The sequence below is a fragment of the Homo sapiens genome, chromosome 12 (assembly GCF_000001405.40).
Source record: "Homo sapiens chromosome 12, GRCh38.p14 Primary Assembly".
NCBI lineage: Eukaryota > Metazoa > Chordata > Mammalia > Primates > Hominidae > Homo > Homo sapiens.
The window spans coordinates 102,841,175-102,855,723 of record NC_000012.12 but is presented as its reverse complement, the minus strand read 5'-3'; the positions used below and the strand labels follow the sequence as shown (position 1 = coordinate 102,855,723).

Below are 14,549 nucleotides of genomic sequence, written 5' to 3'. Positions count from 1 at the left end.
CAGCCCCCATTCTCCTTATTGCCAATCTCTGCAACTTTACAGCTTTGTGATACCTGACTGGCCCGTGCAGGTAAGTGAATTTCTACCCCAGGTAAGCAATTAGAGAATTAGAAGAGTAGAAAAACCAAGTGATTTCCCGAAAGTGAGAGCAAATCCTCATTGTAGCCTGTATCACTGCTTAACCAAATCACCCTTTCATGTGGGAAATCAAAACAACAATGTTTCCTATATCAAGATGTGGAATTTTTCTCTTTCAAATAATGTATGAAATTCACTGTAGCAAGTGATGGCAGCTCACAGGTTCTGGTCCCCGACTCCCTCTGCTAACCTAACCTGCGTTCTGCTGTGCCCCTGCCCTGCTTGAGACACCTATTTTGTGCCTGTATTCTAGTGGGCAGCCCATCCCTCGAGTGGAATACATGGAGGAAGAAAAGAAAACATGGGGCACAGTGTTCAAGACTCTGAAGTCCTTGTATAAAACCCATGCTTGCTATGAGTACAATCACATTTTTCCACTTCTTGAAAAGTACTGTGGCTTCCATGAAGATAACATTCCCCAGCTGGAAGACGTTTCTCAGTTCCTGCAGAGTAAGTCCACATCAGGGTCAATGGCCCTGCAGAAAGTTGGGGGAGGATTGAGGCAGAGGAGAGGGAAGGGGAAGACAAGTATGTGGAGGCAAGTATGAAAGCATGTGCTTGTAGGAATGCATGCAGGTTGATTCCTCCAGGAAGAACTAAATTTCACTGTGCTCTGCCTTCCCTCCAGCCCCTACTGTGTTTATCCACTTTCATTCAATCAAACACCTGAGGCTGTGGATTTTGCCGTGTACCTGTCCCTGAAAAGTATTTTCTTTCACACTTAAAGCCCAAGGTGCTTCACTGAGGTTTTTTTTTGTTTTGTTTTGTTTTGTTTGCCCTGTAGTTCCTGCTGTGTTATGAGTTAGGAGTGTGTGTTTGTGTAAGAAATGTGCTATTTTCGGGGATGGTGCCAAGAGCCCTGAGCTCTGAGTCTGTGCATCTGGTATGAATCCTGCCTTCAATCCTCTCCAGCTGAGTAAACCTGCCTCAGTTTTGTCATCTGTCAAATGGACACTGTATCAACTCTTTAGCTTTTCCCATAGGGAAATTATGAGAATGAAGTAAGGTGCTGCATATGGAAACAACCAGCACAGTCTTGCATATACAGCAGGTATTCAGTGAATTTGGACTGAATTGAAATCTGAGTAGCTTAATAGGTAAGTACATTGAGTCGCAAGCCTCTCTGTACAGTATATCCAGGTGAAATGGGTGTTACTCTTTCTGTCAAGAGGATGTTAATTTAGCAAAAACAAAATAATGAACTAGCACATATTGAACACCTACTGTGTGCCAGGTAGAATAAGCAGAAGTGGGGAGACAGACTACAGGTTACAAAATTTTCTATATATCAGAGCTGTGCAGAGATGGGCCACTGTGGGGGCAATGAGCCAGGGAAATTACTTGGCAGGAAGGGAAGTTGTAGCCAGGACAGTTTGGGGGTGAGTTAGATGACCTTTTGGGTCCCTTCCATTAGAAAGTCTTTGCTTCTTAGATAAAGAAGGGAGTAAGGGTCCAAGCAGAGTGTGCTTCAGCCTGAAGACACAGAGAACATGGGGGCAAGAGGCAAGGGGATCTCAAAGACTTCTTTAGCTAATTACTTCCATTGCCATGGCCAATAATAAGAATAATAAAACAGTAATACTAGCAGTTGGGAAGCTACATAATAGTAATTAAGAGAACAGACTTTGAAGCTAGACTGCCTGTGGCTGTGACCTTGAATAAAACCTTTAACCTATCTCTGTCTCAGCTTTCCCATCGGTAAAGTGGGCATAATAAAAGTGTCTACTTCATAGGGCTATTGTGGGGATTAGTAGCATATCTAAAGTAGCTTAAAACAGTGTCTTACATACAGTAGGTCAAATATAGTGTTAGCTATTATTACCATTATCACTGTCACTATCCTTATCCTCCAAAGTTTGCAACAAACTGAGAGACAGATACAGGAACCATAGAGATGGTGATCAGAGGTCAGCTTTAAAATTGAGCGATTTAGAGAATGTGATATAGATATGCACACAAATGGACTTGCTAATATTTTACCCCTTAATTAGGTAAACTTACCTGCCAATTCATAGAGCATAGTCCATTGCATGGCCAAGAGCAGACTGGAATGAGGTCCTCTGTGAACAATCAAGAGAGAAAGAGCAGTACAGAAAGAGTTAAATTGACAATATTCATATTCTCTTCCCAAATGCTCCAGTCAGACAGGTCACTGCTACTTATGGGGTAGACTGTGTGAGGTGCAGTACAGAAGCTGGAAGCACTCTATCCATACTCTTCCCTTCTGGGAAATGAGGTTCAAATTCCCTCTTCACTCTAGAAGCAGGAGAAGTAGGGAATCATTGTTCCACCCTAACAAATGGTAATGAAAGCTAAATTTATTGCATGTTTCCAATGTGCTAGGCTCTGTGCTAAGTACTTTGTATTCATTAGCTCTTTTTATTCTTGGAACATTTCTAAGAAGTATCTATCCACATTATGCAGATGAGGAAACTGAGGCTCAGAAATGGGAATTTACTTGATCCAGATCACCTAGCTAGAAAGCAGCGAGGCAGACATCTGAAGCCAAGTCTGCCTAGCGTCAAAGCCTATGTCCCTGGGCAGTTATGTGTACTACTCCACTACCTAAAGGTCTCCTAGTGCCTCTGACTCAGTGGTGATGAGCTTTGAGTTTTCTTTCTTCTTTTCATCCCAGCTTGCACTGGTTTCCGCCTCCGACCTGTGGCTGGCCTGCTTTCCTCTCGGGATTTCTTGGGTGGCCTGGCCTTCCGAGTCTTCCACTGCACACAGTACATCAGACATGGATCCAAGCCCATGTATACCCCCGAACCGTGAGTACTGTCCTCCAGCTACCAGTTGCCAGGCACAATGAGCGCCATCTTTTCCTGCTGCAAGAATGAGGTTTGGGTTCATTGCTGGCTGGTCCACAGGACTAGTTGTCTAGACTGTTTGCTGGTAGTACTAAAAACAATTCATCTATTCTGGAGATTTGCTCCATCCAAGTAGATAGACCAGACTGATTGGAGATTTGGTCATCCTGTGATCCAATAACTCAGAACTCCCTTGGCAGTGAGAATGAGAGATCCCAATCAAGTTCCAAAGTCAAAGCTACGAAGTTGCAAATGAGAACAGGAACAAGTGGCAGCCAAGCTATCTCAATACTTCCTAAGTATACATCTAGATTACTCTTATCTTTCTTTGCCTAGATTGTGTATTGGGTAGAGGTAGAGAATTGCAGCCATTATGCTTCTTACTTGGGTGTTTCGTTATCCCCTTAGTCTGATAAAACTTATGCAACTTATAAAAAAATTAATGGAACATCCAAAATTGTTTTTCCTTGCCCATAAAGTTCATTGCTACAAATCCAAAAAGACCTGTTCCAAATGGACATAGCACATACAGTGTTAAATAAATGTAGGTTTTCTTCCCTCACTGCTGTCCACCTCCAGACTAACAGAAGAGCAGCACTGTTTTTGTTTTAGTTCCCAGTGGAATAGCTGAGCATATTGTATCTGCCCAGGGAAGTCAATACCAGGGAGAAGACAGGATGAGAAGTGTTCATGACTCATAGCTCACTTAGGTATATGGGAGCATGTCCACAGGAATATTAGCTCTTCTGCCTGGTACCCCACTGGGGATACTCTTAAGACCCTTGGCTGCTGTGCCCTACCCTGCACCTGTCTCTTATTTTTCCTTCCTTTTCTTCTTTTTACCTTGTACCCTGCCTTTTATGATCCCAACCTCTGCATATCACTTATTCCTGGGAGAGGGATCATAAGCCTAAAAGAGTTATTTCCATTCTTTCTGCCCATTCCTCATGTAGAAAGACTGAGTCTGGCTTGGCTTAAACCTCCTCCCCTCCGAGCTCTCTGTGCTTTCTGTCTTTCAGTGACATCTGCCATGAGCTGTTGGGACATGTGCCCTTGTTTTCAGATCGCAGCTTTGCCCAGTTTTCCCAGGTAAGGAATGGATTTTTTAGCCTTCTAGTTATAGGTCTGTGACCTGAATTTCTCAAATGAGTTGAGCCCAGGGAGGGGTCCTCATGCCCTCTGCAAGAGCGGAAACCAGGTACAGTTCTATGATCCCACCTGAAATGGGTGTGTGGTTCTGGGAAGCTAAATACCCATTTCGGAGATCAAGCATGGGGTTGGTGAATCACTCATCCTCTGAATCATATGTGTGTTCTTCAGTGTACTAATCTCATTTTTCCTGCTAGAGCCTTTCATCCATGAAAGCCTCCCTGATTCCCATGCAGGAACTACCTCACCTTCTTCCAATCTCTTAGTACATTCCCCTTACCTTTTCAGGGCTGTTGCAACTTTCTACCTTGTCAGGCAGTTATTTGTGTATATGCTTGAATTAAGTGAGGTGACATTTGCCAAGAATCCAATGCTGATACCCTGACTTAGAGTTAACAAAGAAAAAAATGAGCTGAATATCTTATCACCATCATCAAAGCTGCAACCCTGCAACCTAGAATTTCATTCATCTTTCACAGTGGTTAACAAGCTCAAAAAAAAGCTTTCTTTTTCTTTTTCTTTCTTTTTTTTTTCTTTTAAGGCAAGGTCTCACTCTGTCACCCAGGCTGGACTGGAGTGCAGTGGTATAATCACGGTTCACTGCAGCCTCAGACTTCTGGGCTCAAACAATCCTCCCACCTCAGCCTCCTGAGTGGCTGGGACTACAAGCACATACTTTCATGCCTGGCTGAATGTTTTAATTTTTGTGGAGACAGAGTCTCACTACATTGCTGAGGCTGACCTCAAACTCTTGGCCTCAATCCTCCCATCTCACCCTCCCAAAGTGCTAAGATTACAGGCAAGAGCCACCACACCTGGCCAAAAAAGAAAGTTTTGGGCTGAGTAAAATAATGCTACCAATTCTCTCCAGGCACTGAGAGGCAGCCTAAAACCATGGTTTGGTAGCTGGGATCATGAGAAGGTTGAATGGTGTTCTGATGTACCTAGGCTCCAACCCTGCCACTAACCAGCTGTGTGACCTGGGGTTACATTATCAGCCACCCTGTGCCTCAGTTTTAATAAAAGTGGATCAGTCAAAAGCCCTCTCCACCAGTCATCTTCCTCACAAAGAAGCACAAGAATCAAATGGAATGACCTATGAGCAAATGCTGAGCCAAGTATTGGGATTTCAGAATAATGGGATTGTGTGTGAATTTAATGGGCATTTTCCCTCAGCTGGCAGAAATAAACATTCCCACTGTCAAATAAAGAAGCTACCACTAAATATTTGAAACAAACAAACAAAAAAGTGGAATTTATTGCTTGCTAAGTGAGGGAAAACTGTACTTGTAAGATGCAGCCTCTCTAAACAAAAGGAAAATTACTTTTATGTGAGGTTTGGGGAATTATGGAGTTCAAAGATCGTTGGACTTTTGGAAGTGGAAGTGTTTCGGGATTAGTTGAACTTTAACTGTAGAAGCATCACCAATGACATTCAGAAGTGTGGTTACTGCTGCCAAGATATCTTTGATTGCTTGGGACAGTTTTAAAATCTGGATTTGTTACTGTGGCCAAAAAACAATCAGATTTTTCCTTGAAGAATAGGAACCTTTTATTCTTACCACCAGAAGTTAGTTTACGAAGTCAGAGGCTAAGTGGCAGTCCTCCTTAAGCCATTTCCACTTTGGGGAACCCCACAGAAGAGTGGACAGTTGCTCAAGTCAACAAACAGGAGCTCTTGGGGCATCAGTGTCACATGGTTCCAACTTTGATCTGGACAGTTCCAAGGCAGCAAGTCATGTTGAAAGTTTCCTGAGAACATTCCTTTTTGATCAGAGGCAGGACTTGCTTCCCACTACAGTACAGGATGGAGTGGGGCTGGAGCACAGGGAATGTGGGGCCCCCCTTGTTGTAGGCAAACTCTAGGCTCACAAAGAATGGTGACTAAGAGAACAAGGCGCCATTTTGGTCTTGGATTTATCAGTGGTTTCTAGTTGAATTGAGAGAGCAGATCCAGGCTAAGAATTTGAATTTGGTTCACTCTAAATCAGAAAGTATTTTATAAGCCTAATCTGAACCAGGCTCTGGACTTGGCCCAGGGAGTGATATAGAGATGCAGACCATGTAGCTTCTTGCTTCAAAGTGGGTCTAATCATAGTCTTCATCTCTGTCTACAAGCACTCCTCTGGTGATCTCACTCAATTTCATGGCTTTAAATACCATCTCTACTCTGATGACGGACACATTTACATCTGCAGCCAAGACTTCAATCCCCAAATTCAGACTTGCATATTGAATTGCCTATTCAACATCTCCCCTTGGATGTCTATAAGACATCTCTAACATCCTATCCAAAACTGAGTTCTGGATCTTCCTTCTCAAACCTTCTCCAGCACAGCTTTTTCTATTATCAGTTCATAGGAATTCCGCCCTTCCAGCTGATCAAACCATAAGCACTTTGGGACATTACCAACTCCTTTTTCTCTTAACCCCACAGCCAATCTTTCAGAAAATCCTGTGTGTTCTACCTTCAAAATATGTGTAGAGTCTGACCATTTCAATTATGTCTACTGCTACCAACTTGGTCTCAGCCACTATCATTTCTCATCCTAGTGACTGCGGTAGCCTCCTCAGTGGCCCCCTCTAGTGGTCTCTACCCTGGACCCCTCCAGTCTCCATGTGTTCTGTCTACACTCAGCCTCTCCAGTCTCCTGGTGTCCCATTTACTCTCAACCTCTCCAGTGTCCTGGTGTCCCGTCTACACTCAGCCTCTCCAGTCTCCTTGTGTTCTGTCTACCCTCCACCTCTCCAGTCTCCTGGTGTCCCTTTAACCCTCAGCCTTTCGGTGCCCTGGTATTGTGTCTACACTCAGCCTCTCCAGTCTCCTGGTGTCCTGTTTACCCTCTACCTCTCCAGTCTCCTGGTGACCTGTCTACCCTCAACCTCTCCAGTCTCCTGGTGTCCTGTCTACTCTCCGCCTCTCCAGTGTCCTGGTGTCCTGTCTACACTCAGCCTCTCCATTCTCCTGGTGTCCTGTTTACCCTCTACCTCTCCAGTGTCCTGGTGTCTTGTCTACCCTCAACCTCTCCAGTCTCCTGATGTCCTGTCTACACTCAGCCTCTCCAGTCTCCTGGTGTCCTGTCTACCCTCCACCTCTCCAGTCTCCTGGTGTCCTGTCTATCCTCAACCTCTCCAGTCTCCTGGTGTCCTGTCTACCCTCCACCTCTCCAGTCTCCTGGTGTCCTGTCTATCCTCAACCTCTCCAGTCTCCTGGTGTCCCATCTACACTCAGCCTTTCTAGTGTCCTGGTGTCCCGTCTACCCTCCACCTCTTCAGTCTCCTGGTATCCTGTCTACCCTCCACCTCTCCAGTCTCCTGGTGTCCTGTCTACACTTAACCTCTCCAGTCTCCTGGTGTCCTGTCTATCCTCAACCCCTTCAGTCTCCTTGTTCCCTGTCTACCCTCCAGTCTCCTGGTGTCCTACTCTACCCTCAACCCCTACCATCTCTTGGTGTCCTGCCTCTACCCTCAACTGCTACCATCTATTCTCATACAGCAGGCAGAAGGAGTGCTTGGTAACACAAGTGAGATCATGACCATCTATCTGCTCATTACCCTGCAATGGCTCCTGTTTCACTGAAAGGAAAAACTCAAGCCCTAAAACATCTAAAAATATTCTACATGATCTGGCTCTGGATCCCTCTTTGATATCACCTGCCACTGCCCCCTCACTAATTCTTCTCCAGCCACATTGGTTCCTCCCTGTGTCTTGACCCAAACAACGCTGCCTTTTCTTGGGAAAGAAATGCAAGCTTTTGCACTGGCTATATGCTTGGCCAACAGTGTGCTTCCCTCAGAAGTCAGTATAACCAACAACTCCACTTCCTTCAAGTCTGTGCTCAAATATGACCTTCTCAATGATGCTTACCCTGGAACCCTATTTAAAATTGAAGTCTCCCCTGAATCCCCTGGAGCTCTTAGTCCCTCTTGTTTATTTCTTCTTTTGTTTCTTCTTTCCAAAGAACTTATATTCTTCTAACATAGTTATGTATATGTTCATTATTTATTGTCTGTCTCCACTAAAACTCACAAGATGTCTTTACTGATTTTATACACTGCCTGGCACATCAAATGAACTTAATAAATATTTTGAGAGTGAATTAATATATACAGTAGGAAAGACACATACACACAAGGCAGGCTGCAGTAAGTGCTGTAAAAGAGACAATGAGACAGTAGAGGAATTCTGCAACAGAAGCTGTGGTGAGAATTAATCTATGATGTGTTAGACTCTCCAGCTATATATATGCCTGGACCGATGTCACCACTTATCTGCAGTTCTCCTGTGATGTTTCCAGGGTACATGATTAAGACTCATTTAACATTCCAGGAATATTCTGCTGATGAATAATCACTGAGCTGGAGTCAAGAGAAGAAGCTTTAGATACTAACCGACCCTGTGATCATGAGCAAGTCACTTCCCTTCTCTGTGCCTCAATTTCCTCACTTATAAAGTGAAAACAAAGGGCCAAGTGAGGGTGGAAGGATCCCCCTACCCTGGAGATCTGTGATTCTATAACATATGGGCAGGAAAGACTTGATAACACACTCAGGGTCTATGTGGGCTGTTCTGAAGGCATCTGGCCACCCATCACCTTTTTATGGCCAAGTACTAGGTTGGTTCTGTGGTTCCAATTACAGGAACAGAACAGGTTCTATTTTCCCCCAATTACAGGAAATTGGCCTTGCCTCTCTGGGTGCACCTGATGAATACATTGAAAAGCTCGCCACAGTAAGTCCCTTCTCTCCCTGGGTGGATGGTGGAGTGCTATAGGCTATGGCCCTCAGGTCTTTGAAACTTTCCTACTCCCCTGGAAGCCAGGTTATCTGGGGAAAAAAATCAGAATGTGGTGGGTTACATTTGCACAAGTGAAACTTCACATTTTGATAGATTTCTCCTTAATAATTTGATTTTGAAATCAGCTACCTACAGATGTTTACATCTCTTAAATTTTAAGCAGTATCTTGAACCCACCAACAGGCTATAATAGTAGCCCTTGAAAACCCTTGGCATAAAGTGTGTGTATGAAGTAATCTGGATCCAGAGCTTTGAACATGGAATGTTTACATCTCTACTTTTCACACCAGAGCATACATTAGGATCTTTTCTTTCTCAGACATGAGGGAGAAATGGGGGTGGGCTTTCCCCTTCTTGCTGAACACTTTCCTCTCCTGAGTATATCTGATGACACTTGTCCACTGGGGCTATAGAAGCAATTCTACATAGCAGGTGATTTCCTTCCTTCATACTCGTTTCTAATTTTAGTACATCCCACCCCAGCCACTAGCCACATTGCCTGTCCTGGAAGTTGAAAAATAAACATTTATAATTGAATTGTGGACTGCCAATGAGTGCAAATCTATTATTAAGATATATCAGTTTAGAAGCTTATGAACTCGTTCCATCAAAAGGCTAAAAACTCCCAGAAGGTTATCTTCTCACTGACAGCTGCTTTCAGGTGCTGGACAAGTGGCTTTTTCTTCCTCATCTCTAACAATGGGATGCAATAGCTCATATCTTGCCCATCTCAAAGGCAACTAAAAATTTAACTATTTAAATTGAATTATTTAAATTTTTGTGAACATGGGTTTTTAAATGCCAGAGGCTACAGAGATACAAGGAGCGGCTTTCAAAGAAGTTACAGAGCTAGATAGAATTTCTCATCTCTACAAAGAAAATAAACTTGGAAGTCAAAGCATCATGTTATCTGCCATAACAATATTAAAATGACTTATCACCAATGCGACTTTTCTAAAAAATTGTTACTGATTGAAAAAATGTTACTGATTGGTTGAGGAACAGTCCTGGATTCTTGCTGCCCTTAATTTGCTGTGTAACTACATGCATGTTGCCTTACCTTCCTGGGCTGAAGACTCCTCACCTGTATGTGAGGAGGTCAGACTGACTGAGCTCTGACAGCCCTCCCAGGTTTAACATTTTCTAGTCCAATAAACAGATGTAACTAATAACCTACCCCTAATTCTCCAAAACTGTGACTGTCTCCAGCAGCTAACTGAGCTCTGGGTTCCTCTTAGCCCCAGAACCCCAATATTCTTTTTTTCAGGCCAACTCTCTAGGACATATTGAACTGTCAGTTATTGAAAGAAAAGTACTTGGTTATTTGCATAAATGCAGTAGTTGACTTCAGAAACATCCCCAAGTTTTAGCATGGATGATGGGACATTCTCCTCACTGATTCTATCACTACCCAGTCTGCTACCTCCCACTGTTGTGCCTAATGAGCTCTGCCAGCTTCAGAGCATCTGAGGAACATCTCAGTCTAGTTGACACCACAGAGAAAAAAACAAAAGAGATGGAGGAGTTCCTGTCATATGGAGAACATATTGTTGGGAGCCTCCTTTTGGGGCTTCTTAGTACCTCCTGATATTTTCCATCATGCTTTACATTCAGCCAGCACTCAACAGGTGACTAGATAGAGTGAGACACAGGACACAGAGACGTGATCACAGGTCATGCTGATTCAGAGAACAAACCTGCACAGGCTTCTACCTGGGCAATCCTGTCCATGGCACTGGGGCAGTTGCTGCCTTCTCCTTCTTTGAGGTGTGTACTAGTCAAAGATCTCCAGAGAGAAAGAACCAGTGAGATATATATAGAGAGAGAAAGAGAGAGAGGGAAATCTGAGAGGGGACTTATTAGGGGAATTGGCTTACACAGTTATCAAGGCTGAGAGGTCCCACGATATGCTGCCTGCAAGCTGGAGAACCTGAAAAGTCAGTGGCGTAGATTAGTCAAAGTTCAAAAGCCTCAGAACCATGGAAGTTGATGGTATAGCTCTCAGTCTGAGACCAAAGGCCTGAGAACCCCTGGGTGGTGGTTGGGTGCGAGTCCCAGAATCCAAAGGCCAGAAAGCCTGGAGTTCTGATGTCTAAGGGTAGGAGAAACAGGGTGTCCTGGTTCCAAGAGAGATAGAATACGTATGTGGCTTTCCTCTGCCTTTTTCTTCCATCTGGGATTCCAGCCCATTGGGTGGTTCCCGCCCACAATGAGGAAAGATCTTCCCCACTCAGTCCACTGACTCACATGCCAATCCCCTCCAGAAACACCCTCATAGACATAGACACACCCCAAAATAATGCTTTACTATCTATTCAGGTATCCCTTCATCCAGTCAAGGTGACACATAAAATTAACCATCATAGAGTGTGCTCTCAGATTGACTTTCCATTCCAGATTTACTGGTTTACTGTGGAGTTTGGGCTCTGCAAACAAGGAGACTCCATAAAGGCATATGGTGCTGGGCTCCTGTCATCCTTTGGTGAATTACAGGTATGACCTTCACAGGAACCAAGGATAGATTTAAAAGTGGTGGGTACAGAAAACCATTATTGTGCTTTCAATATTGTTGAAACCCTATTTGTATCCGTTTTGATATGCAACCTGGGAACTCATTCTCCAGTGATTGGTACCTTAGCAGCTATGATTTGATGATGGCTGTGGGTTTTACAGATAGAAATGGAATTGCAAGTACACATATCTCTGGGGAGAAGGGGCCTCCTGATTCCAAGGCTGACCTATGCATGCAGCCTTGTGAGTATGCAAACACATGCCAGAAAGTGTGGTTGGCTCCCACGTCATCTATTGACCACCTTACTTGAAAGTAATTGGAATGAATTACTCCTTTCTCCCTTGGCTGTAGGTTTTAGATGAGCTATGAAGGGTAGAACCTAGTATGTGCAAAGTAATTTGGCTCACAGCATTTGGGCTGTGATGTAGAAGGAATCGGGGTGAGATGAGAGAAGGGGCACAAATGGCCTATGGGATGCAGCAGGGAATACTGATCCTGATTTAACAGTGATAATAACTTTTCACTTGGGGCCTACAGTACTGCTTATCAGAGAAGCCAAAGCTTCTCCCCCTGGAGCTGGAGAAGACAGCCATCCAAAATTACACTGTCACGGAGTTCCAGCCCCTCTATTACGTGGCAGAGAGTTTTAATGATGCCAAGGAGAAAGTAAGGTGAGGTGGTGACAAAGGTGAGCCACTAGCTCTGGGGGCCTCCTGACTGGTGCCACTCATCTGTGGGTGGTTGGCCAGGAGAGTGGACTCCAATGTCTACAGCAACTTTGTACCATAGACAGTTTCTCTCCCATGTTCTCCACCCTCCTTTTCTTCCGTTCTCTGTTGGAAGGTTGGGCATGCTGACCTTTGCACACACCCCTGCCACCTGGTCCCTGTTCAACGCAACCACCAAGTCAAGACACTGAACCCTCCTGCATACAGAGTGGCCACAGAAGTCTCCCCACAAAATCAAAGAAGTCTTATAACCTAGGAAGTCCTTTCTTCACTTTCTTCTCCCAAACACCTACAAAATTTGCTTCCTCCTTTGTGTCTTTACCCAAATTTAATCTCTATATGTCTTTCTCTAACCAACTTATTTCTACTCATCCCTGCCACCAGTGCGTCTGTAATACTTATTAACTTGTAATATATTACATAAGGTAAGCTCCATGAGGGTAGAAATTTTGTTCTTTCTATTTTCTGTTTTTCCTCCAGCCCCTGGAACAATACCTGACACAGAGTAAGCACTCAATAAATAATTGGTGAAGGCATTAATCCCAGAGGCAGTTCAGCAAGAGGCTGATGGAGTGGTTCTGGGACTCTGAGACTGTTGGCCCTCTGAGTGCACAGTTCCTGCACCCAAGCAGGAGACAGACTGGGCAGAGGGTCCACCTGGACATGAATATCCTAATACTCACTGTATGTTACCACTTAAAAAAATCTTATCAGTGATGGATGACAGGCATGGAACATACAGGCCTTTGGGAGTCTATGACACTGGGTATGTTAGCTTTCAACCCTATCTATGGCCTCTGAGAGGTCAGAGGAATGGAGGGGAGTGGTGATAGAATAAATGACTTCTCAAAGAAATCCGCACTTTTGAAAAGAGAGACATGAGGGAGGAAAGAGAGACATAAGGGAGAAAGTCAAAGACAAATGAACATACATCTTAGTCCTTCCTTTCTAAATCCAAATTCCATCCCCCCCAGACCCCTCACAAAGAAAGGTAAAAATTATCCTTTTGCCAGCTCATTCACTTACCTTACATTTGCAAGGTAAGATTGTGGGACAAGACAGGTCCAGCTAACATTTGTTTGAGAACCCTTTGGAATAAAGAGACTTCAAAGAGGACTAACTTTCTTTCTTTTAAAATGGATATTCCTTAATTTATGTCTACTATCTTTAGATAATTAAAGGTAAAATGCTGGCCCACAAATCCACTTGGTGTGGCCTAAAATGACTATTTCTCCAGCTCTGTCCAGAGCTCTCAAGTCCTTCTGGCTCTGCTTTTTTAATTCTCTCCTAAACTGGGAGCCTAGCCTCCTTCCAGCATCATCCCCCTCTCCCTCCAAGGCCCAAGGTTTGGACCCAGGCATTGGAGCTTAGAGGCAGTGCTGATGAGCACCCTGTCATGCCAAGATCACATTTGGATGGGCCCTCCTGGAGACAACTCTCTAACCAGCAAGTGATCAGTCCCAGACCAGCAGGGAAGAGCTTGCCAGGAAACAGGCCTGTCAGTACCGAGGCCTCAAGGGAAACAACCATGAAAACCCCATTCTGCTGAGAAGTGGCTCAGAGAATCAAAGAGAATGCTAAAGAACAGAGTTCAAAACAAGGAATCTGCACATCCCTTTGGATTCCCTCAAAGCATCTCAGCCAAGAGAAACCAATTCTAACCACTTGGAGTTTTAAGATTCAAGTTGTAGGCAGAGATGTGATTGGCTGAGCATGGTTCACATGCTACCTCCTTTCCAGAGGAGGGCTGGCACCGAATACTGACTTCTGGACTGATACACACCTAGTAGGGTAGGGGTAAATCACCCAAAGCAAAAATGAGCTGCTTTATGGGAAGAAGGAGGAAGAGGTGCAGAGCAGGCAAAATCACAGATGTGTAACATGTGGCTCATGCCACCAGCTGGGTTGAGACAGCTCCTTTCAGAGAAGAAGGGGTGGAAATATATACTTGGCCATTTGTTCTTCATGAAAGATAGCAACTAACACTCATAGGGCACTTACACCATAGTATAACAGCATTTGCTGCAACCCCCTGAGGCAGGTACCACTAATGCCCCAATTTTACAGAGGAAATTGGGGTACAGAAGAGTGGTCCCCTGTGCCCATGGTCACAAGGGCCATAATAGACAGAGGCAGGGTTTCAGCCCAGGCAGCTTGACTTGGAACTTGGGGAGCCACTCTTGCCAAACTTGGAGGTCCCTACTGTCTCCCGTAACATTGTATTTTCAGTACAGCAGCTTATAGGTTCACCAGAGGCCAACTTAGAAATCTGTGATTACTTTGCAACATCTTGTTAATGGTATTGCATGATGTCCCTCATAGAGGCCCTCATGGTGGATTTCTCCCAGATCCAGGAGTAAGGCACTGGGAAGGCAGGAAAGCAAAGGGTCCAGGCCAGTGTCAGACTGCCTGGG

The 14,549-nt window shown here is 44.4% G+C and overlaps 1 protein-coding gene across 3 annotated transcripts in view, besides 1 other annotated feature; it reads left to right on the top strand.

Moving 5' to 3' along the window:
- PAH (phenylalanine hydroxylase) overlaps positions 1–14,549 on the top strand; it is a 121,553-nt gene that overhangs the window by 102,718 nt on the left and 4,286 nt on the right. For 2 of the 3 annotated variants that reach the window (NM_001354304.2, NM_000277.3), the window contains 6 exons: positions 392–588; positions 2,774–2,909; positions 3,968–4,037; positions 8,773–8,829; positions 11,293–11,388; positions 11,945–12,078. In NM_001354304.2, the coding sequence (NP_001341233.1) occupies positions 392–588; positions 2,774–2,909; positions 3,968–4,037; positions 8,773–8,829; positions 11,293–11,388; positions 11,945–12,078 (690 nt within the window). Of the gene's footprint in view, positions 1–391; positions 589–922; positions 1,897–2,773; positions 2,910–3,967; positions 4,038–8,772; positions 8,830–11,292; positions 11,389–11,944; positions 12,079–14,549 lie in introns of those variants that run through there. The other variant, XM_017019370.2, reaches the window with a different exon arrangement.
- Positions 3,614–4,813: an enhancer, noted in NCBI's record as "CDK7 strongly-dependent group 2 enhancer chr12:103244689-103245888 (GRCh37/hg19 assembly coordinates)". NCBI's record gives its function as "activates an origin of replication core promoter dependent on BRD2, BRD4, P300/CBP, MED14 and CDK7 cofactors, with strong dependence on CDK7, by STARR-seq in HCT116 cells {active_cell/tissue: HCT116}" and the evidence as "EXISTENCE:reporter gene assay evidence [ECO:0000049][PMID:35650434]".